The 21,653-nt window shown below is 47.2% G+C and overlaps 3 long non-coding RNA genes across 9 annotated transcripts in view, besides 8 other annotated features; 2 read left to right on the top strand and 1 right to left on the bottom strand.

The window, feature by feature from the left end:
• LINC01599 (long intergenic non-protein coding RNA 1599) overlaps positions 1-986 on the top strand; it is a 97,731-nt gene extending 96,745 nt beyond the window's left edge. The window contains exon 9 of the long non-coding RNA NR_131171.1: positions 880-986. This is a non-coding gene — a long non-coding RNA (long intergenic non-protein coding RNA 1599). The remainder of the gene's footprint in view (positions 1-879) is intronic.
• Positions 779-21,653, top strand: part of LINC01588 (long intergenic non-protein coding RNA 1588) — a 25,852-nt gene continuing 4,977 nt past the window's right edge. Inside the window, exons 1-5 of one of the 5 annotated variants that reach the window (NR_126496.1) lie at positions 1,780-5,550; positions 8,241-8,372; positions 15,426-15,521; positions 15,974-16,043; positions 16,535-17,300. This is a non-coding gene — a long non-coding RNA (long intergenic non-protein coding RNA 1588). Of the gene's footprint in view, positions 5,551-6,225; positions 9,232-15,164; positions 15,297-15,425; positions 15,522-15,973; positions 16,044-16,291; positions 17,301-21,653 lie in introns of those variants that run through there. The other 4 variants (NR_126499.1, NR_126498.1, NR_126497.1 and 1 more) reach the window with 4 other exon arrangements.
• Positions 4,643-5,002: a silencer, noted in NCBI's record as "silent region_5715". NCBI's record gives its function as "represses an Ori minimal core promoter by ATAC-STARR-seq in GM12878 lymphoblastoid cells {active_cell/tissue: GM12878}" and the evidence as "EXISTENCE:reporter gene assay evidence [ECO:0000049][PMID:35858748]".
• Positions 4,643-5,201: a biological region, named in NCBI's record as "ReSE screen-validated silencer GRCh37_chr14:50469816-50470329".
• Positions 4,688-5,201: a silencer, noted in NCBI's record as "fragment chr14:50469816-50470329 (GRCh37/hg19 assembly coordinates)". NCBI's record gives its function as "represses an EF-1alpha promoter that drives an FKBP-Casp9 reporter gene in an ReSE screen in HepG2 liver carcinoma cells {active_cell/tissue: HepG2}" and the evidence as "EXISTENCE:reporter gene assay evidence [ECO:0000049][PMID:32094911]".
• Positions 6,263-6,472: an enhancer, noted in NCBI's record as "active region_8336". NCBI's record gives its function as "activates an Ori minimal core promoter by ATAC-STARR-seq in GM12878 lymphoblastoid cells {active_cell/tissue: GM12878}" and the evidence as "EXISTENCE:reporter gene assay evidence [ECO:0000049][PMID:35858748]".
• Positions 6,483-6,532: an enhancer, noted in NCBI's record as "active region_8335". NCBI's record gives its function as "activates an Ori minimal core promoter by ATAC-STARR-seq in GM12878 lymphoblastoid cells {active_cell/tissue: GM12878}" and the evidence as "EXISTENCE:reporter gene assay evidence [ECO:0000049][PMID:35858748]".
• Positions 6,903-7,032: a silencer, noted in NCBI's record as "silent region_5714". NCBI's record gives its function as "represses an Ori minimal core promoter by ATAC-STARR-seq in GM12878 lymphoblastoid cells {active_cell/tissue: GM12878}" and the evidence as "EXISTENCE:reporter gene assay evidence [ECO:0000049][PMID:35858748]".
• Positions 7,513-7,562: an enhancer, noted in NCBI's record as "active region_8334". NCBI's record gives its function as "activates an Ori minimal core promoter by ATAC-STARR-seq in GM12878 lymphoblastoid cells {active_cell/tissue: GM12878}" and the evidence as "EXISTENCE:reporter gene assay evidence [ECO:0000049][PMID:35858748]".
• Positions 7,549-8,196: an enhancer, noted in NCBI's record as "OCT4-NANOG-H3K27ac-H3K4me1 hESC enhancer chr14:50466821-50467468 (GRCh37/hg19 assembly coordinates)". NCBI's record gives its function as "activates a minimal SCP1, AML or CMV promoter by ChIP-STARR-seq in naive and primed H9 embryonic stem cells {active_cell/tissue: H9 hESC(naive and primed)}" and the evidence as "EXISTENCE:reporter gene assay evidence [ECO:0000049][PMID:30033119]".
• Positions 16,786-21,653, bottom strand: part of LOC105370485 (uncharacterized) — a 19,875-nt gene continuing 15,007 nt past the window's right edge. For 2 of the 3 annotated variants that reach the window (XR_007064159.1, XR_943841.3), the window contains exons 3-4: positions 19,635-21,470; positions 16,786-18,369 (exon numbers count right to left, since the gene is read on the bottom strand). This is a non-coding gene — a long non-coding RNA (uncharacterized LOC105370485). Of the gene's footprint in view, positions 21,471-21,653 lie in introns of all 3 variants that reach the window. The other variant, XR_007064157.1, reaches the window with a different exon arrangement.

The following is a 21,653-nucleotide window of genomic DNA, read 5'->3' as shown; positions in this document are numbered from 1 at the left end:
AGCATCCTTGGAAAGATGATCAAATAAAAGACAGACAGTGTGTCTGCTTGCAAGATATACAGAAATGTGGCCAGGCACGGTGGCTCATGCCTGTAATCCCAGCACTTTGGGAGGCTGAGGCGGGCAGATCACGAGGTCAAGAGATTAAGACCATCCTGGCCAACATGGTGAAACCCCATCTCTACTAAAAATTAAAATATTAGCTGGGCGTGGTGGCATGCACCTGTAGTCCCAGCTACTCGGGAGGCTGAGGCAGGAGAATCGCTTGAACCCATGAGGCGGAGGTTGCAGTGAGCCGATCATGCCACTGCACTCCAGCCTGGTGACAGAGCGAAACTCCATCTCAAAAAAAAAAAAAAAGGAAATATATAGAAGAATGCCTTCTGAATAATCATTTCTTTTTTGAAATTGTGGCAAAATCTCCCTGGACTCAAGGGATGGGTGTAAAAAGCAGTTAGGCAGAGGATGAGGGCCTGTGCCTGAGGCGTCCAAGGGCAGCCCCAGCTCCCTGCAGATCCAGTGCAGCGGGATGTGCAGGTAGATCTCCCTCCCCAGGGCACAAAGCTGGGTGGGGAACAGCTGTCAGAACCAGCCACACCCCACCCCACCCTGCCCAGGCATCAGAAACCTCAGGGAAATGCCTAGATACTCCACCTCAAGGAAAACATTGAGGCCCTGTAGCCAGGAGTGCCCTGTTTGTGTCTAAAAGTTGCCCCAGCCCAAATTTACAGCTGGGAGGATCAGAAGGGCAATCTCTGTCTTCTCCCAAAAGGAAATCATACCCATAGTTACCACTGGGAGCAGGGTGGGCCGTTTACACTCCTCATCCTACCTCGCCATCACCTTAGGAAGCAGCCATTCTCCTTGTCTTTACTGTAGAGGAGGAAGCCTGGACAGCCTGCAGTTGAGGGGACCTGCACAAGCTCACAGGACTCTTCATCACCATGACACCACGCTCACCGCAAAATAAAAATGATCAAACCTGTCATGATGTCAGCAGCACCGGTGTTGGTCTTTGTGGGAAAGAAAAACACAGGCCAGGGCTGCAGCACGATTGTGTCTGCCCAGCTCTTGCAGCCTGGAGAACACCGTTGGATTCCCTCCCACACATGCTCCCAGGCTGCCTGCCTGCCTCACTTACCTGCTCAGGGTGGGGCTTGAGGGTGGCCCCTGGGAAGAGTAAGAACTGGCCAAGACTGAGATGTCCTTCCCTCATTTAAGGTACCGCCTTTTCCCTTTTCCCGCCATCCTGGGTGCATGGATACTTGGGATTAGAAACTGGACTGGAAATGTAATCTTTCTTCGGTTTGGGGCTGAGAACTGGGGATTAGTAGGATTTTGAGTTTATGGCACAGCCTTTTCTTACACCATTTCCTAAAAAGCAGTTAAGATTACACCAGGCACAGTGGCTTACGCCTATAATCTCAGCACTTTGGGAGGCTGAGGCAGGTGGATCAAGACCAGCTTAACCAACATGGTGAAACCCCATCTCTACTAAAAATACAAAAATTAGCTGGGCGTGGTGGCACGCATTTGTAGTCCCGGCTACTTGGGAGGCTGAGGCAGGAGAATTCCTTGAACCCGGGAGGCGGAGGTTGCGGTGAGCTGAGATTGCACCATTGCACTCCAGCAGCCTGGGCAACAGCAACGAAACTCCGTCTCAAAAAAAAAAAAAAATTACAGTCATCTCCCAGAAAAATCAAGAAGGAAGAACCTTGGAGGTTCAACCTATAGAAGATATGTTCTCATGGAATAAACCAAAAATAATTTTTATTTTCTAAAAAATCAAGAACAGAAGTCTCTCAACATTTAAGTTTTACAAACAAATAGAATCTGAGCCACTGGGTTAAACATGACAAACGACACACAGTAACAAATATTGAAGACATCATAATGCCAAAGCAACAGAAGCAGCACCAGAAATGTTGCTGAGGCCACCATTTAATTAACGCAAGTTGAACATATGGCTTTGGTTACATGTGGTTCCAGGCCAGAGGCATGGAAGTCAGTGTTTGTGGGAAAGCCAGGAGGAAAAGCTCCTCTCCCCACCTCCACCTTGTCACTCCAGGTTCTGGTGACCCCATCTCGGGACACGGCCTCCCATTTCACTCCTGCACCAACCCCACTCTTGTAACACTGCACATGCAAGATGTGAGCATCTTCAAAGTACGAATATTGCCTTCTTCATTTTAGAATCCATGATGTGCTTGTGGGGAGAATGAATGAATGCTCAAACATGAATGGAGAGAGACAGAGAGGAAGTGCAGGTCTAACCAAGGAAACCTTCTTTCCTAGAAAATCGTTGATGAGCCCGGAAAGAGTTGGCTGAACAACGGTAACAATTCTTTTATTATTATTTAACTTATTAAGTTATTAGAAAAAGTAAAAGAGTGAGTCGAGGTTTTTGGATTGGAAGTAGGGACCCACTGAGTTCCCTCCAGGATTGTGGAGTTTCTTTTACAGCCACATGTGGATAAGAAACTAAGGGCCACAGACCAAATGACAGGTCGGATGGCAACCCTGGAAAAGTCACACAGCTCAGCCTGTTGGAGGAAGAGGAGCAGTAGAACCTGTGTGGAGCCTGACAGAACCCAAGATGCCATTCACGAACCGAGAGGTCTTTCAAGATCACACACAGTTCTACGACACAGACATTTCGTCTTCTTGCCACTCAGTAGCGGGGCCCATCCCTCTGTGCCTCCAAGGTCCGTGTGCCATGTGGAAAACTCAGGTGTTCTGTCTCTGCCAGGACCTTCTTCCTGCTGCTTATTTAAGTGTCTGCTGCTTCGGGGCCTCAGGTGCCTGCTTTATCTCTTTCTCCTTTACTATCAAGTCTTTAAGCAATTTGCCAAGACGGAGAATCTCACTGGCCTGGTGGGGCTGAGCCTTCCTTCACTGGCTGACCAACTGGGAAGTGGGCTGCTGCCTAGATCAGGTGCGTGCCACAGTTCATCTAGCCGTGCCCAGAGTTCTAAGGTTATGCGCATGACCCCGTGTGTGGGCAGAGGCTCTTAGCAGGGGCCGAGAGCATTGGAGGCATCTTGAGGGCCAGAGTCCCCAGCCCCAGATCACAGATACGGCATGATCAAAATGTGAGGGAGCAGGGGCAGAGATTATTTGGAATAACGTGCTGAGTTTGTATACTTTTGACAATTAAAAGCCCTATGTCCCCCTGATGTTACGCATATGCTCCAGAGGAGCCACTCGGGACAAAGAATCAATAATGGGCGCTTGGTGTGCATTGAAAGCTGACAGTGTATATTTGTGGGGACTATACAGGGAAAGGAATATGAAGCCTTGACAAGATATGGTGAGTATGTATCGGTGAGGTAGGTAACTCATTCATAAGGGACTTTGCAAGGTGGCAACACTGGTTCAAAGATATTACGAGAATAAAGATTTTGTGTACTCAGAGAACGAAAAGGAATGCTGACGTAAGATCACAAAGTTAGATACTAAACTGGCTAATGTGCTACAGGGCAGCAAAACTATAACCTTTGAGGTAATTTATCTGACCAGATAGGAATCATTTGCATCTCTGTAGAACAGAAAAACACTTACTTTTTTTTTTTTTTTTTTTTTTTTGAGACAGTATCTGGCTCTGTCCCCCAGGCTGGCGTGCAGTAGCATGATCTTGGTTTACTGCAACCTCCACCTCCTAGGCTCAAGCCATCCTCCCACCTCAGCCTCCAGAGTAGCTGGGACTACAGGCACACACCACCATGCCCAGCTAATTTTTGTATTTTTTGTAGAGAAGGGGTTTTGCCGCCATGTTGCACAGGCTGGTCTCAAACTCTTGAGCTCAAGCCCACCTCAGCCTCTCAAAGTGCTGGGATTATAGGCGTGAGCTCCCGTACCCAGACAGCACTTACATTTTAATAGTTTCTACACAGTACTATCTCATGTTATTTTATTTTTTAAAATCGATAATGGGACTCTTGCTATGTTGCTCACACTAGTCTTGAACTCCTGGCCTCAAGCAATCCTTCCATCTTGGCCTCCAAAGTACTAGGGTTACAGGCATGAGCCGGGGCTCCTGGCCTAACTAATTTCAGAGTTAAGAACGTTTGGACTCTATTTTATAGTAAAAAATAAGTCAAAGCTACCTTCCCCTAGATAGCCAAATGACTCTCAGATGGGCTCGTTAGACAGTGCTTTAATTTAATATTGAAAGAACTTTTTGCTTCCCCTCCTCCAAGTTTTAATAATTCTTAACAGAGGGAAACAGCAACAAAATTTTTGCTGTAGTGGGTATTAAAGAAGGGAAAACAATCATGAATGCCGGAGTCAAAATGCCCAAGGAGCGGAGGCACCAGCGTTCTCCACCTGGTTTGGCGGCGCACCAGCAGTGTGACCTGGAATCTGATCTCTCTGGAGCTCAGTGTCCTCACCTATAATATGGGGTATTGAACTACACACTTGGCAGGACTTTGCCCTAAAGCTAATTTTCAAAATAAAAAAAAAAAAGCCACTTCCCTTTTCCCACATTAACCCTGAGAGAGAAAGAGGAAGCGGGAAGCCCGCACATGGAAGCAATTTATTGCAGACGTTCCTGGGCTGGGAGAGGAGCCTTCTGACTGCTGCAGAGACCATCACCCGGTCCTGCACCTTTACCGGAGGTGCGGAGAACTGCTCGGCCCGCACCGGGCTCGGGGGTGTTCACGGGCTGCGCTGCCTCCCCTGCGCGCAGGACAGGAGTCGCCAGAGGCCGGTGGTGGATTTCCTCCCCGCATCTCAGCTCTCCGTCCAAAGTCAAATTGCTCTTTTCTCCGCCCACGCGGGCGTGGCAGCTGATATCCGGCCGCTGGGCGTCCCCGCGCCCCCGGGGGCCCCGCCCTGCAGCTATCTCCGCGGCCCACCCGGCGGCGCCTCCCTGCAGGGCTGCTCCCCAGCCCAAACCGCCGCGGCGCGACGTGGAGCCAGCCCCGCAAAGCTGCATCCACCCCCCGAGGACCAGCCCCTCGAAGGCAAGGCCAGGACCTCCCCGGGCGGCTGCAGCCGTGAGCCACCCCTGTTTTGTGAAACACACACTCTGCCATTTCAGGCCGCACTTGCCCGTTGCCATGGGCGTTTTCTATGTTGACACAAGCAGGGACACGGAATCCCTTGACTTTGAGTTGCAGATCGTGGGTGTTGGCGTCTCCGCTGCTTTACCAGGAAGGATGGAAGGGGCTTCAGCCTCCATTCTCACTTTCCTTCTCAAGGAGTTGGCTAAGCATCAGGAGTTTTCTCTTAGGCTTCTCTCAGGTCCCCTTTCCCTGAGAGGTGAAAAGTTTTTCAGAAAGGTGAGCAGCTTTCTCTTTATTCCCAGGGACCACTTCACACACCCCTTTTTCGCCTCCAGAGTAGATGGAACCGTGGAACGAGGGAATCCTGCCCTCTGGTTGTGTCTGTCATCTCCTACTGGGACCAGAGCCACAAAAGCCACAAAAGACCCAACTCTCTCCAGCGTGCAGGCATCCCAACTAGAGGAAGCAAGGAGGCAGAGACCAAGAGGACATCAAGAGGCGTTTGAACCCGCAGAGAGGGCCTGGGAGCACAATGCTGAGCGTAGGTCCAACCACTGCTTCTCAATGGGGTGGGAGAGCGGCGTGGGGAGAGTTGTGGGCATTTAGGGCAGGACAGTGCCCCCCACCCCACTTGGGACGGGGCCGCATTGCATCATCACTGTAACAGCACTAGCTGCCCCTGCCCCCACAACCCCTATGTATGAAATGCAAGTAGCACCTCCCCATCTTTGTGACAACCCAAAATGCCACCTCCTGTGCCCAAGCACTCTCTAGTGAGGTGTTTCCTTAGGTTAAAAACCACTGTTAGATCATTTCCTAAAATATATCTCAAAAGACCTCAATTAGTTCCTTCATATATAAGTAGGTGTTATATGAAAAGAGTAGCATGCTGATATCAGTATCATGCTGGGTTTGGGAGATGGTGGGTTAAAAAGTGGAACAGGATTTACTTACAGGACTTCTCAGAACCTTTAATATATATAAATATATGTTTTGAATCACCAAGAGAGAGATGGACTATGCAGATCCCCAAATTTAATTGGCCCTGGAATTCTTTCTTTGTGGGACCCTTTTGGGTGGAACCCACCTTAGATACCTCTGAACTACATTTTGTCGTCCAGGGCACTCTCTGGGGACTTCTGTGTCCTTCCCAGTGTGAAGTGCAGGAGTGAGCAGTCAAAAGGCCCTTATGTTTTTACTGAATTGAAACACCTAGAATGTGTGAAGATACCAGGAAGGAGGCCAGAGCTTCAGGAAACCGCTGCAAAGATGATCTCACAAAGAAACCATTGTGGCAGGGCTCCTGGAGCACTCAAGTTGATGTGACGTGTCCTACTCCTGAGAGCACGCAACCCTGCTGGCTCCTTGGGCTTGCATGGCTCAGGGAAAGGAAAATAGCCCGGGTGTTTGGAAGAGAAGTATGTGTGGATGGAATTATTCAAATGCTGATGGATGGATTGGGTCTCCTCTCCTGCTGGCCCGGCAGCCTCTCCGTGGAAGGCTTTGCCCAGGAGATGGGTCACAACAGCTCTGGTGAGATGCTGGAAACATAAGCCCAGGCAGATAGAATGGCAGTGAGTCACAGTAAACCGACAACCGTCAGGTGCTCAGGAGGGAAGCTGAAGCCAGGGGACTCGCTGTGCTGAGCTAAGCGAGGAGCAGGACTCTCCTGTTGTGCAAAACACAAAGAGCAGAGTGTTCAAGTCCAAGGATCAGGTTCCTCCAAATGGAAGCCCAAGCTGTGCACGCTGAGCTCCAGGGCTGGCGATACAATCACCTGCCTCTGCCCATGCAGGAAGGTACCACCCAAACATACCCATTTCTCCCGGGGCATGGGCAGGGGCCAGGGGAGACAGGGCCCTACCACTTCCCATGTAAAACTGGGTGAGCAGCCCAGCGCCCGTCAGAGCCGAAGCACCTCACCTGCACCCCCGCCCCCGCCCCCGCCCCCGCCCCGCCCCGCCCAGCCTTGTAATCTGGGCTCTGCTCGCCATGTGCTCTGTGCTAGTGAAACTGCCCTCAGAGCAGAAATAAACTGTTGGCTCTCAAGTTTTTCCAGACTAACCGGACTGGCCAATGCCTGAGGCTCTGTGTTCAAGATAAAAGTGCCTAAGAAAGAAAAGTGCAGGTAGGCAGTCCCCACTTCTGCAGGGCTGGTGGGCTCTGGGGATCCTGTCTCAGCCTGCTGAACAGCCCAGAGTGGCTTTAAAAAAAAAAAAAAAGCCTGAACAACCTTTTTTTGCACATGGGTCACAGTCAAGCTTCTTAAACTTGGATGACAGTAAACCTATGACTAACTGGATAATTAAAGCCACAAGTCTGGAGGCCTGGGCAGGGCTCTGCTCTGGAATCTCCGGTGGCCTGTTCCATAGGCCAGCGTCCCTTGTCCTTCCCATAGCAGAAATGCTTTCGTGAGTTGGAAACCCTCTGTGGTGACCTCTACATCTTCTCAAGGTCAGTTATCCACTTGTCCATGGCTTCGTGCCCCCATCCCACATCCCTGTCCACTGCATGGAAGGAGGAAATCTAACCCACCCGCCACAGTGCAGCCCACACTCCCCACACTGCCCCGACAGGAACATGACAGAAGGTTTCCAACTAAAACCAAAGTTACTCAGCAAAGCTTCCTGCCAGGCAGCCGTGCTGGAGGGCGCAGCGTGCCTCTGTCTGCTCTTTCTGTTCTATGAAACTTCTCTGCTGCAAGCACTTGAGAGCCTCTTGGCTTCCTGGGGAGAGTGGACTGAACTTCAAAGCAGACACAGCTGCAGCTAAGAAGCCCCTGGGTTGCCTCAAAGACTCTGTCTCCTCCCAGTCTGAAGCTTCTGGTGAATGTTTCTCCCTCATTCCTGAAACAACAGATAGAGCTGTTGAAGTTTACAACGTCCCCCAAGGCATTTCTGTGTTTCTGCCTTTAATCTAGGGCCCAAGTGACCACCCACAAGAATGCCCCGAACACTCACTGCCTCAGGATGCGTCCTGCAATTTACATTCCCGTGGTGCCTCTGCCTTCACCCCACGCTGGTGCCCCCGCCTCCACTCCAGCCGTCTCTCTGGCCACCCCTGCCCCCTCGCTTCTCTCCATCATGCCAAAAAGTGCCCTCGTCCTCTGACGGTGGAAGAGGGGATTCAGTTAGGAGTCGGGATGGCCTATGTGATTTTTGTACACTATTCCAGAATAGGTGTGTGGTTGCTTTAAAAATCAAAAGAAATGTGTCTTCCAAATCTTTGAAGCCCTTTGATTTCAGGAAGCTGTGGACCGTGTTTAGCCTGTGGCTCTGTGTGCCCCTTGGCTGCTGCTGCTGCTTACTCCTGAGGGTGAAGTTGCTAACATAAGAAACGAGTAATTTGGATTTGCGCTTCTTGGTAAAAACCCCTTTCCATTAACCTGTAAAACTCTAGAGGGCAGGGGATCTCTCACATTGAATCTGGTGGTCTTGTGAGAATGCCTGGAAAATAGTAGGCATTCTCCAATGATTGTTGTTGGATTAGTGTCATTGCTTAAAGAAAAAAAAAATCAAAGAAAGTCACTCTCTTAGCTCAGGATGGTGTATTTGCAAGTGTTTAGGCCAAACATGTGTTGAGAAATTGCACATATACTGTGTACAACTCATGTCATCAGGAACTTATGTTACCAAACCTCTTGTTTCACCCACTATCTTATCATCTGTATTGAGCAGACTAAGACCTAGCAAACCAGATGAGCCTTCAGGAGATCTGCAGACTGATAAGGGCATTTGAGATAAAGAAATCCCACAGAGTTCTAAAACCAAAATGAAAAGTATAGAGATGATTGTCCTGTGAAATGGCCCCAAGCCTCAGACCCATTACCATCTACCTCTGGCCTCACTTGGGGGCTACTGTAGATGCTCAGCACAGAACCTCTTAGCTGTGGTTGTGACTTCCTGGCTGGCCAGGCCTGTAAGAGGCGGAGGAAGAAGTGCTGTGGCGAGCTCTGTGACTCAGAGGAAAGCAGCCAGGACATGACGTCCTGCACGACTGCCTGGGGTGGCTGCAGGGAGGTGGCCTAGGGACAGATGAAGCTGCAGTGGGGACCACCTCCCCTGCAGAAGCAGTTTTCTTGTCCCTCCTCATCCAAACACACTCCAACTTAAAAAATCATTATGCATAACTCCGAAAGCAGGTCCATGCTGTACCTGTGTGTGTCCTGCCAGATTTCTTTGTTCCTGGGGGAAAACAGCAATAAACATCACATTCCTTTTCAGTGTTGAATTGCTACTGCTTAAAAGTTAAGAAAAAAAAAAGTTGCAGTCAAACCATCTATTAACAGATAAATTTAAGAACGGTGTGAGTTCCTGCCAGCTGCTGATGACAGGTTTTCCAGAAGGGAATGATATTGCCGGCAAGGCAGTGATTAAGTGTGATGACAACTACCAATTTAGTGAAGGGTCAGTGGTTTTCTTGTATATTTATTTATTTTTATTTTGTTTTATTATTTTATTTTATTTTATTTTTGAGACGAAGTCTCACTCTGTTGCCCAGGCTGGAGTGCAGTGGTGTGATCTCAGCTCACTGCAACCTCTGCCTCCTGGGTTCAAGCGATTCTTCTGCCTCAGCCTCCCGAGTAGCTGTGATTACAGGCACCCGCCACCACGCCCAGCTAGTTTTTTGTATTTTTAGTAGAGACGGGGTCTTCACTGTGTTAGCCAGGATAATCTCGATCTCCTGACCTCATGATCTGCCCGCCTCAGCCTCCCAAAATGCTAGGATTACAGGGGTGAGCCACCACGCCCAGCCATTATTTATTTTTAAATATTGAAACCCTCTGATTACTTACTTGAAATAATACCAAATAGTAGCATTATAGTAACAGCAAGAATTCAACCACTTCCTGGCAAGTAATAAGTATATTTCATTTTATTCTACTTTTCTAGAGTTTAGAACTAGTTACTTAGAAGTAAACTCTAAGTTGGGTCCACCCAGGTCTAAGGAAATCTTCCTTGGTATCCCCTGAGTTTGCTAATCCCAAGACGGTCTCTGAGAACACTCTGAGCAATGAGACCAAGCCCCTGTCCCCCAGGCCATCTGCTGCCACCAAGCCAGGGCACTGGGCCTAGAGAGCTACATGTGGGTCGTAATGAGCCATCTGGCTGCCTGGCAGAAGGCATCCATGGGCAGGTGTCTGAGACGCTACTGACATTACCACTGACCTTTGCCAAGAAGCAGGTTTGGTTTTATCCAGAATGGCCCAGCGTGGTGGTGAGAATGCATCTTCCTTGTCTAGGACACTTTCAGGAACCAGGCTGAAAATTCTCACCCTCAAAATTGAATTTTTGCCTGAGCAGTAGGGTCTACACTTTCCCTGGGTTGTTCTGGGACTTCTTTCGACCATTTTCCTCCCCATCTGGAGCAAAGTGGTCTCTACATACCTCCTTATCCTTGCATGTGTCCTGACCAGTCACAGAGGCAGCATCAAGGCGTGGCTCCTGGAGGTTTTCTTTGTGTATTAGGGTTCTTCGGACAAGCAGAACTAGTAGGAGGTGTGTGTGTGTGGTGTGTGTGTGTGTATGTAAATAAAAGGAAATTTATTATGAGGAATTGGCTCATGGGGTCATAGAGGTGGAGAAGTCCTATGATCTGCCATCTACAAGCTGGAGACCCAGGAAAGTTAGTGATATAATACGACCCAAGTTGGAAAGCCTGGGAACCAGGGGAGCTGATGGATGAGATCTCAGTGGAGGGCTGGAGTTCAGTGCTGCAATCATGGCTCACCACATAAAATGTCCCAGGTCAAGCAGTGAGGCTGGAAAAAAGGGGCAAATTCCTCCTTCCTCTGCCTTTTGTTTTATTCAGGCCCCCAACGGACTGGATGATGCCCACTCACATTGGGGAAGGCAAGCGACTTTACTGTGTCCACCTGTACAAACGCTGATTCCATCTGGAGACATCCTCCCAGACATACCCAGAAACAAGGTGTCACCTGGGCGCCCTGTGGCCAGTCAGGTTGACACATAAAATTAGCCATCACAACTTTGTTTTTAAAATAGAAGTGCAATTTAGGCTGGGCACAGTGTTCACACCTATAATCCCAGCACTTTGGGAGGCTGAGGTGGGCAGGTCACCTGAGCTCAGGAGTTCGAGACCACCCTGGCCAACGTGGTGAAAACCTGTCTCTACTAAAAATACAAAAATTAGCCAGGTGTAGTGGTGCAGGCCTATAGTCCCAGCTACTCAGGAGGCTGAGGCAGGAGAATTGCTTGAACCCAGGAGACAGAGGTTGCAGTGAGCCGAGATCGGGCCACTGCACTCCAGCCTGGGTGATACAGTGAGACTCGGTCTCAAAAAAAAAAGTGCAATATAAATAAAAAGAGAGTTTAATATACAACAAATATACAATGTAGCTTTACATAAAGTATTTTAACCATTCCTTGCTCCCAAACAAAATGCCACTCCCAAGAGTTTCCTATATAGAAATTCCGTTGTCACCACACATTTGCTATGACATGTGTCACAAATAGTTTCTGATACAGTATCAAACTACACACATTATTTACCTTTGGCCTGGTAGGCACAGTGGCTCATGCCTGTAATCTCAACACTTTGGGAGGCTGAGGATGGTAGATCGTTTGAGCCCAGGAGTTCAAGAGCAGCCTGGGCAACATAGCAAAACCCTGTCTCTACAAAAAATACAAAAATTAACTGGAGTTGGTGGCGCATGCTAATAGTCCCACCTGCTCTGGAGGCTGAGGTGGGAGGATCCCTTGACCTCGGGAGGTAGAGGCTGTGGTGAGCCATGATTGCACCACTGTACTCCAGCCTGGGCAACAGAGTGAGACCATGTCTCAAAAAAATTATTTACCTTTAAAAACTAAATTATAGCTCAAAGTGATTCATGTTACAGGGTACCTCTCTGTTACTTGGGTTTAAATTTGTTTCTAGAATGGGAAAGGAGACAGTGTGAGAGCTTATAGCCTGGCTACACACCTGAGTAGAGCCAGGGAGAGGGCCCTATCTGAGCTCTCTGTCATCAGGGCTTATTGGGAGCAAGGGACAGACAGAGGGAGAAGGAAGGTGAGGACTGCTGATCCACAGCGCAGTAGTAGGCTGTTATACAGTGGCAGAGAAAGTAGATTCCTAAGGCTTTAGAGAGCCAGAGCCTTCCTTCTCCCTCCAACAAAGGATGTCACCAAGTGTAAGATGGATTTGGTCTCTTAAGATGTAAGGACCTCCTTTGGGGTTCTGCCTATTTGGGGGCAGAATATTAGAGCACACCCAGACCAGTCCTGCAGCCAGGACTCTACCCAGACTATAGCCTGAAGGTGCAATTTGCTTGGTCTGAGGAATTTTTTTTAATGATTTGGGTTTTTTTAAATAGAGATGGGGTTTTGCTATGTTGCCCAGGCTGGTCTTGAACTCCTGGTTTTAAGTGATCCTCTCATCTCAGCCTCCCAGTGTTGGGATTACAGGCATGAGCCACCATGCCCGGCCTAAGGAATTGTAAAAATTAAATGTGTCATCATTTTGAAACTGGGAAAATTCATGTAAAATTGAGATTCCTGATTTCTTCCAAGAATCACAAGTTTCACCGTGTTTGGCAACACTAGATTGTGGTCCTACCCAACAGTAGTGGGCAAGAGCACATGGTGGGTGAGCACACAGCACCCCCTCCTCTGCTCACTGCACCCCAACACTCACCCATGCAGCCCCACCCCACTTGCTTGGAGTGTCCTGCAGGCGAGGGGCCACAGTGTCACTCCCACCACAGAGTCCCACTCTCCTGTTCTCTCTGCCACTCAGAGGACGTCTAGACCTGTGTTTCCTGGACAGAAGTCAGCCCTGGGAGCCGCAGTTTATGCCTTCCTTCGCCCCCACACAAATGCAAAAGCCTCCTCCCCATTTACTAAGCCAAAGAATGTCAGGATTGAATGTTTTGAAAGAAGAGTTAAAGACAGCTTTAGCCCTGGCGTTCCATAGCTCCTTATTAACACAGAGACTTTTCATAACTCTGAGACAGCTGGAGACACATTTCTGTGAATTCAAAACTCCTGTGAAGGACGCTGGCCTCAAGGGTGCAGGGGAGGCTGGTCAGGTTTCCTAATCTGCTCTTGGACTCAGGGCAGGTGCAGCTGGTGTTCTAGACCACAGCACAATGGCAAGAAGGCCCCTCTGGAGCAAGTCAGGGTCCAGGCGCTACTGGCCCCAGGTGAGCCCAAGATGCAGGCTTCAATGCCAAATTAACCAAGAAACAGACAGGACCCAGGGCCCGAGCACACAGACAGCCTGGTACATGCGGAATCACACACTGATTTGCTCATGGGAGCTGACTGTGAGGGCTGACATCGCCTTTGGACTGAATTGTGTGGAATGTGCTGAAAGAGGCTTTGGAGTCAGAAAATGTTAGAGCCTAGCAAGACACTCTAGAAAGCATCTGCTCCCAGGGTCCCCAACAGTGACTGCTCTTGATAATCATGTAAACATTTCCAAAGTACAGATTCCAGCCAGGCGTGGTGGCTCACACCTGTAATCCCAGCTACTTGGGACGCTGAGGTGGGAGAATCAATTGAACCTAGGAGGCGGAGGTTGCAGTGAGTCAAGATTGTGCCACTGCACTCCAGCCTGGGTGACAGAGTGAGACTCTGTCTCAAAAAACAAACAAAAAACAACATACAGATTCCTAGGCTCCAGCTACCCCTGCCCCAGCACACACACACGCACACATGCACATATGCACACACATAGATTCTCATGAGCAGCCAGGTTTGGGAACCATTGGTGTAGCCCAAACCCTTCCATTCAGTTTCTCAAGTACAGTACTATGTTCAGTGACATTTCCAAGGCCACATCGCTGGTTTCGCAGGACTGGGATTACAGGACAAGTTTCTTGACTACAACCCAGGGCTTTTTCCACAACACACTATCTATCTCCTGGATGTACCATAAAGGAGGCTGCCGATGTACCCCAGAGATTTTTGGATGTGGAGAGAGGGTAAGAAGCATAGCCTTTGTGCTTGTAAAGTAAACCAAGGTAATTTTCCCCAATATTGGCCTCAGTCTCAAGTCTCTCTGGGCAAGAGATTCTGCCTCTAGCTCTACAATTAGTACAGTTTCCCTTGTTTTTTGAGAGGGGATGAAAAGTACTGTACATGTGTGTGGAGACTTCTCTGTGCCTCAGTTTACCTCTATTTATTTATTTATTTATTTTGAGACGGAGTCTCGCTCTGTCACCCAGGCTGGAGTGCAGTGGCGCGATCTCGGCTCACTGCAAGCTCCGCCTCCCGGGTTCACACCATTCTCCTGCCTCAGCCTCCTGAGTAGCTGGGACTACAGGCACCCACCAGTACGCCCACCTAATTTTTTTGTATTTTTAGTAGAGACGGGGTTTCACCGTATTAGCCAGGATGGTCTCGATCTCCTGACCTCATGATCCGCCCATCTTGGCCTCCCAAAGTACTGGGATTACAGGCGTGAGCCACCACGCCCAGCCAGTTTACCTCTACTTAAAATGGAGAGAGTGCCCAGCACCCTTCTACCTTCTCCCTTGGGGCTCTGCAGATTGACCGCACAAAGATTGACCACACAGATTGATTGACCTGTGAAACCCCAAGGCAGAAAAAGAAGCTTTCTGTGCCCACACAGAGGTGTTCTTAAAGTCAGGGTTGCTCTTGGCACACATATTAATAATCCTGATGTCTAGGTACCATTGCAGATCCTTTGGTTCCCCTCTACCCGTTCCAGGAAAGACTGCCTGTCTTCTCCGAGTTTCTTGAGGGCTGATGAAATATTTCCTGAATGTGATCTCAGAAGGAATCCCAGTTTTGAGGGACCAAACAAGATTTTTTAAAAATTAAATACTACTACTAAATAGCTGGTATTGAGTTAATCCTAAGTGCCAGGCATTATGCAAAACACTTTACATGCATTATGGCATTTAATCCTCACTACAACCCTAGTGAAATAAATATCAATATAATTAAAAGTATAAATATAAATGAAGTGTTATAATAGTCTCATTTTACAGATGTGGAAAATGAGGCTCAGAAAAGTTCACGTGCCCAAGATCACACAGCTGCTAAATGACAGAGCCACGATTCAATTCACATAGTCATCTCTAGAGGCAAAGCTCTGGTAAAGGGCTTGATGACTGGTCACTGTCGTCACGAACTTGACCTTTCCTGCAGCACTGCCTGGTACTTTCCCAGTACAGTGTTCTGCCCTGACACAGCCAAGGCCAAGGGCAGTGCAGGCACAGCCACCGTGACTCTCTGCTGGGAGGTTAACAGCTCCATCAGTTCAGGGACTGCCTGACCCAGCCTGACCAAATTAGAGCAAGTAATGGGTGTGACATAATTTGACATGTACATTGTTAATTGAACCCAATGGGAGATGATTTTAAATAGAGGCGAATACCACGCTGTGAACTATTTGGGTTATGAAGCTCTTATTCTCTTATCCTTGCAGGAGAAAGAATTGTGCCATGAAAAATGGAAAACTCCTGAGAAGCTGTTCCAGCGTCAGGAGAGCAGCAGACAAGCTGGACTGGGGAAGATTCTTCCTGTAAGTTTCAGAGATTTCACTCTCATTTCCTAGCATCTTACCCCCAAATCCTCTCCAAGCCCAAATCAAGAACCACAGACTCTAGTCATCTTTCCCCCAGAGACTTCCTAACTGGGGGACTGGAAACCCCAATTACAAAGCCTGCCCTCATAAGACGGCAAAACAGGCACTGCTTCAAGTCCCCAAATGCAGCCCTCACAGCAGTCTCCCTTTCTGAGTTTCAAAGAACTAAGAGCCCACCCCGGGTCCTCACTGAGGGACTCATGCAGGTGCAGTCTCTCTGGGCATCACCCTATGCCCAACTCCTAGGCCTCTTCCCTCCTCACGATCAAAACTTACCTGTCCTGTCTCCCGTGCCCTCCTACTTGCTTCCCGACCTTCATAAAGAGTACAAGTGCCCCATGTGCTAGTGCCACCGATCCTAATGGCTTATGATGTGTTTATCCTCTCAGGCAAGACCTGCAGAGTGTATGACACATAACCAGCACCCAAGAAATGTCTACCGAGGAATTAATGAATGAGGTAAGTTGAATGAATGAAGCAAAGGTTTTTCAGGAAATCCCGCGCCTTACCCCAAATCAATAAGTCTAATACTGGGTTTCAGGCTACTGAAAATGAAATTTGAGGGCAATAGACCTTTTGGGAGCAATTTGCCTTTTAAAATATTAAAGTCCTTTAAATAACACTACCTGGTGAGGATGACGAGGAAAAATATAGGGCATAGGGTGGCCTCCCCACAGGCATTTTTCTTCTTTTCTCTTTCCTAACAGGGTCCCATACTTCCTAGCCATGCTGTTGGCAGGGATTAACATCATTGCAATTCTCTGGGTAGACCTTGGGAGGTTTAAACCAACCAGTGACCCCTATCATCCTAGCTCCAGAGATTGGCTTAGGGATAGTCACCCAATGCAGGCCAATGCAAGGTGACTTTGCCAGGGGCTTCTGGGAAAGAAGTTTCCTTTCTCTGAGGAAATGTGAATGAGGACATCCATAACTCAGGTTGTGTCTGGCAGCCATCTTGTGATCATCTGGCAAGACAGCCCAAGAATAAAGCCGTCACCATGGAGACTAAGAAGAGACAGAAAGACACTGGGTCTTCATTGTCTCGTCCAGCTGTTCATGAGGCCTTATCTGAAGCCCACGTGACCTCCGGACTACTCACTTACATGAGAGAATAAAGCTCTTTTTTGTTTAGACCAAATAAATACATAATACAATTACATAATCCCTTGATTCCTTTTTATGACTGAGCTCAGAGACTATATTTTGTCATTTTAAATCACCTTTGTCTTACAGTTTATTTAACTGAAACAAATAAACAAACCAAAACACGCCAGTTTTTCACTCCTCTGTCAAAGCCTTTCCAAGATCACTAAGCTTGTGATGTCCTGGGTGAATGAAGAAGTAACAGTGTTTTCAACAACATAGAAGCTTATTTCTCTCTCATATAAAAGAAGGCTGGAGTCTGGCTGGTATGGGAGATACAGCATCATCAAAGTTTTATCTTTTCGTCCTGCCATCCTTAGAATATGGCTTTCATCTTCAAGATCACTTCCTAAGCTATGAGGATGCAAAGGTATAAGAATGACATAGCGGACTTTGGGGACTCGGTGTGGGGAGAAGTTGGGAGGGGTGAGGGATAAGAGACTACATATTGGGTACAGTGTACACTGCTCTAAAATCTCAGAAATCACCACCAAAGAACCTATCCGTGGAATCAAAAACCACCTATACCCCCAAAACCACTGAAATAAAACTAAAAATTAATTAAAAAAAAAAACAACATAACTTCATGGTCCAATGTGACAGCTAGAGCGCCAATCATCATGTTAAACTTCCTGTTCCAGAAAGGCATGGAAGGAAGGGAGAAGGAGAAAAAGGAGTCTGTGAGTAGTCTATTCCCTCTTAAGGAGTCCACAGAAGACTACCCAACAACTTCTGCTTATGTCTCACTGGCCCTCAGGCTGCAAATGTGGCTTCCAAGTGTAGTCTTTCAGCTGAGCACACTGCCACCCAGATTAAAATCTGGGTTATGTGACCAAGGAAAAAGAGGAGACTGGATATTGGATAGGCAACTAACAGTCTCTGCCGCACCCTACTTAACAAACTGGCCCAGCTTCTGTGTTCAGATCTGATGCTTGGTGCCCGCAGCTCCAAGGAGACCCCATGGTTCAAGCTGCAATTACTTGCTCCACAGGCCCTTACCAAGGAAAGTCAGGTTTTTTCCCTCCTGAGGATCCTCTGACCAGCATCTTCAGATTTTTTTTCAGTTAGAAGTATTCATTGGGCACCTGTTTTTTGTTTGTTTGTTTGTTTGTTTATGACCACATCAGTCTTTCATTAGAATCTTTGCTTTATCTCATTGCATAGTTGAATTTCTTCTCTGCCATGTTCCAGTCAGACCCCATTCATACTCACCCATCTTTGTTCACGTCTTTCCCTAGAACTTTGTTTTTGCAACATGGGTCCACTCTTCCATAGTTAGTTTCTCACTTCCCTCTGGCATTAACTTTCTCAATCTAGTGGATAAGGCACTTGTGGCCCAGGGTAACAAGAACTATGGTTGGTTGGCAACAGCAGCTGAGTGGGGCTGGTCTTCTCCGAATCATCATGAAGGACAGGGAATTATTTTGCCTGGAGACAGGTGACTGGGTGAGGCTAGGGTGATGATTTCTTTTTCAGCTCTCTCAAGGCCTTCTGGCCCCTTATTGTATGTTTCAGGCCCCATAGATAGTGCTGCAAGCCTCTGTTAGTAATTCATAGGCAGAAACAAGGCAAAGTCAAACAATAATAGGGAAGTAAATTATTGTCTCACTAGAGGCAAAACATCTGCTCCTCCCCACCTCACCTGCATAAAAGCAAAAAAACCAATTTAAATCAATGTGGAAGAATGCTAACAAAACATGTTACCTTGAATCTTCATATAAAGAATACCTTTTAGAAATATCTAGTTGTTTCATTTACTTGAATGTTCCCATTTTGATTTTAATTATAAACTGAAAGCTATTATAAATCATAATTTTACATTCTATTATGCATTTTCAAATAGAAACATCCTCAGGCAAATGTGAACAATTATCTCCAAATGTGACTTTTTTTAAAGTTATAATCTTCAGAGGAACAACTAAATTATACTTTAAATCATTAGCTTAAAACTAAACCTGGCCAGGCACATGGCTCATGCCTGTAATCACAGCACTTTGGGAGGCCAAGGAAGGCAGATCACTTGAGGTCAGGAATTCAAGGCCAGCCTGGCCAACATGGCAAAACTCCATCTCTACTAAAAATACAAAAAATTAGCCTGGTGTGGTGGCACACACCTGTAATCCCAGCTAATCGGGAGGCTGAGTCAGGAGAATCACTTGAACCCAGGAGGCGGAGGTGGCAGTGAGCCGAGATCACACCACTGCACTCCAGCCTGGGTGACAGAGTGAGACTCCATCTCAAAAAAATAAATAAATAAAACATAAAACTATGAGACCTGATATTACGGGTTTAACCAAGAGGACTTGCCGTTGGATTTTTAAGTTTTTAAAATTGATATAATCATCCCTTTTATTAGAGATACTCATATATTTTTAAACCAAATGATTGTAATGATGCACATTTTAGGGCCAGAGGCATTCATTATCTTATGGCCTAATGATAAATGGTGCAAAGGTTTGAGACCTAACAGACTGTTACTATACTGAGAGGGCAGGTGAAGAAATTCCAAAGAGAGGTATTAGCATATTTCCTCTCTGCTTTTCAATTTCCAGCAACAGATGGTAACATCACAGTTCTGAACATTCTCCATATATTATTTGGATTAAACAGAGGCTCATTTTCCAGGGAAAACGGGCAGCATCAGTGTTAAAAGGTGCTTTTGCTAATAAGCCAATCTGTATCCAAACGTCACACTACATTCACTCTGATAAGATCCTTCCAGAAACCCAGCACTAGGAATGACTCCATTCCCCTGAGAAGCACAGTCACAAGCATCCAAGGCCATTGGGAGAACTGGATGAATATCAAGGGATGTGTCTTTTTGGAGCCGGGGAGGATGTACTGAGGAGGGCAGACACTAAAGCAAACAGGATCTATCTCAGAAAGGTCATTTGAAAGAGAACTTACAGAGGAATGGCATCCTCCTTTGTCTTTGGATAGACCAGCCAGGTCTCTGGCAGCCCTACCGCCTGGACTCCTTTCCAGGGCTGAAGCACCCCTACGAGCAGTTGAACAGCATGACTCTGGCAGCGAAGAAACCCTGGATGGGCCTCTGAGGCTGGGGAGCCTGACCAGTACCTCACTGATGGGAAATTGCACTGTCCTTGGAGACATTGTCCTTGTTGTCGCCTTAAGAGCTTTCCTTTGTTCTTTCTCTCCCAGTATACCGCAGCTTGATTTTCTCCCTGCTTTCCACAATAGCATTCTGCACACAGGATCGTGAGCCACAAAGCTAGGGGGACCATGTGTAACAACTTATACAAGGAGCATGGTCCTGTAAAACTAGCTGTTTGATGTTGGGCAAGTCACTTAACTTCTCTGTGTCTCTGTTGTCACATTTGGAAAATGGAGATTATAACAGCATTCACCTCCCAGAACTGATGAGTAAATACTGCCTAGCTGATAGAGCTCCATAAAGGTTAGCTATAGCTACAAGGACAGGTGAGCAGTTTCTTCTACTGCACCTTCTCCCTGGATTTACATTTCACTAAAACACACATTTGCCTCTCCAAACACAGGACCAAGATCATAAGAAAATGAATTGTCTCACTTGAAATTCTTTAATTGGTCTTGGAATTCTTTAATTCCGTCCATAGTTCTTGAGATATCAAAAGATATCTGTGACTGGGTGTGGTGGCTCACGCCTGTAATCCCAGCACTTTGGGAGGCCTAGGCGGGCAGATCACTTGAGGTCAGGAGTTCTGAGACCAGCCTGGCCAACTTGGTGAAACCCCATCTCTACTAAAGATACAAAAATTAACCAGGCATGGTGGCGTACATCTATAATGCCAGCTACTCAGAAGGCTGAGGCAGTAGAATTACTTGAACCTGGGAGATGGAGGTTGCAGTGAGCCGAGATTGTGCCACTGCACTGCAGCCTGGGCAACAGAGCGAGATTCCGTCTCAAAAAAAAAAAAAAAAGATGTGTGTGTGTGTGTGTGTGTGTGTGTGTGTGTGTTTGTAGATTCTTTTAGTCACACAAAGTCTATGCTGATTTGGTTAAATGTTAATCTAATGGTGATGGGCTAAATAGCATTTGTTAACTATTAGCACACTGGCCTCAGGAACATGTGGGTAAAATGTAACTACGTTATCTTCGTTCAAATTCCTTTTCTGTGACCGACTGGTTCAAATTCCTTTTTAGTGACCGACTGTTGTCTCAATGAACCTTTGCCGGGTTTTTGTTTTTTTCTTGGTTAGAGCAGAGAGTAAAATAAGTACAACCAGACTTTCTCATATGGAGATAAATTGATGCCAAATTAGGTCTGCAGAGGCCTCATTTTGGCTTCTCTGGTCACTGTGCAGACACATTTTCATGCACATTGAAGATAGTCCATTAGTTCTTGGCAAGGAGAATTAAGTTTTCAAAGCTGCTGTCTCTAACAAGCCTCCCCTTTCTTATGCACAAAACCTCACTGGAGGTGAGAGGCTCTTCCCCATTTATGGAGGAGAGGGGCAAGCTCCATCTGCAGTTGCCCCACTGTAGCCCTGACGATCATCATTCCCATGAGGCCTCTGGACTCTGATTTGGATCAATCATTGAGCTCCAGCATACAATCCAGATTAAAATCTCTCCTTCGCAGGAGGAAAGCATTTTTAACCTCAAAATTATATAGAGAGGGCTTCAAAAAGTAATTTGCAAACTTCTTTGCCTCTGGAGAGGGTACGTCCATTCTCATCTGAAATTTTCCCTCAGTGCCTTCTGTTTTGCATTGACTGAGCTTCTGAGCTCTCGCGATGCAGCTGAAAAGGAAACAAAGAAGTTTTGCTCCTATCTGTTTCAGTGAAAATGTAAGCCAGAATGTTGTGGGTTGAGTCAGATTCTCAATGGGATCTTTAGATGGGGTTCCTGGGAGGAAAATCCTGTAGATTTATTCTGGAGTACCTAGCCGCTACCAAGCCAGGACTCCTTGACCTAAATGTGCT

Source organism: Homo sapiens, chromosome 14 (genome assembly GCF_000001405.40).
Source record: "Homo sapiens chromosome 14, GRCh38.p14 Primary Assembly".
In the NCBI taxonomy this organism is placed as follows: Eukaryota; Metazoa; Chordata; class Mammalia; order Primates; family Hominidae; genus Homo; species Homo sapiens.
The sequence above is the reverse complement of the archived record's forward strand: the minus strand, read 5'-3'. Positions and strand labels throughout refer to the sequence as shown.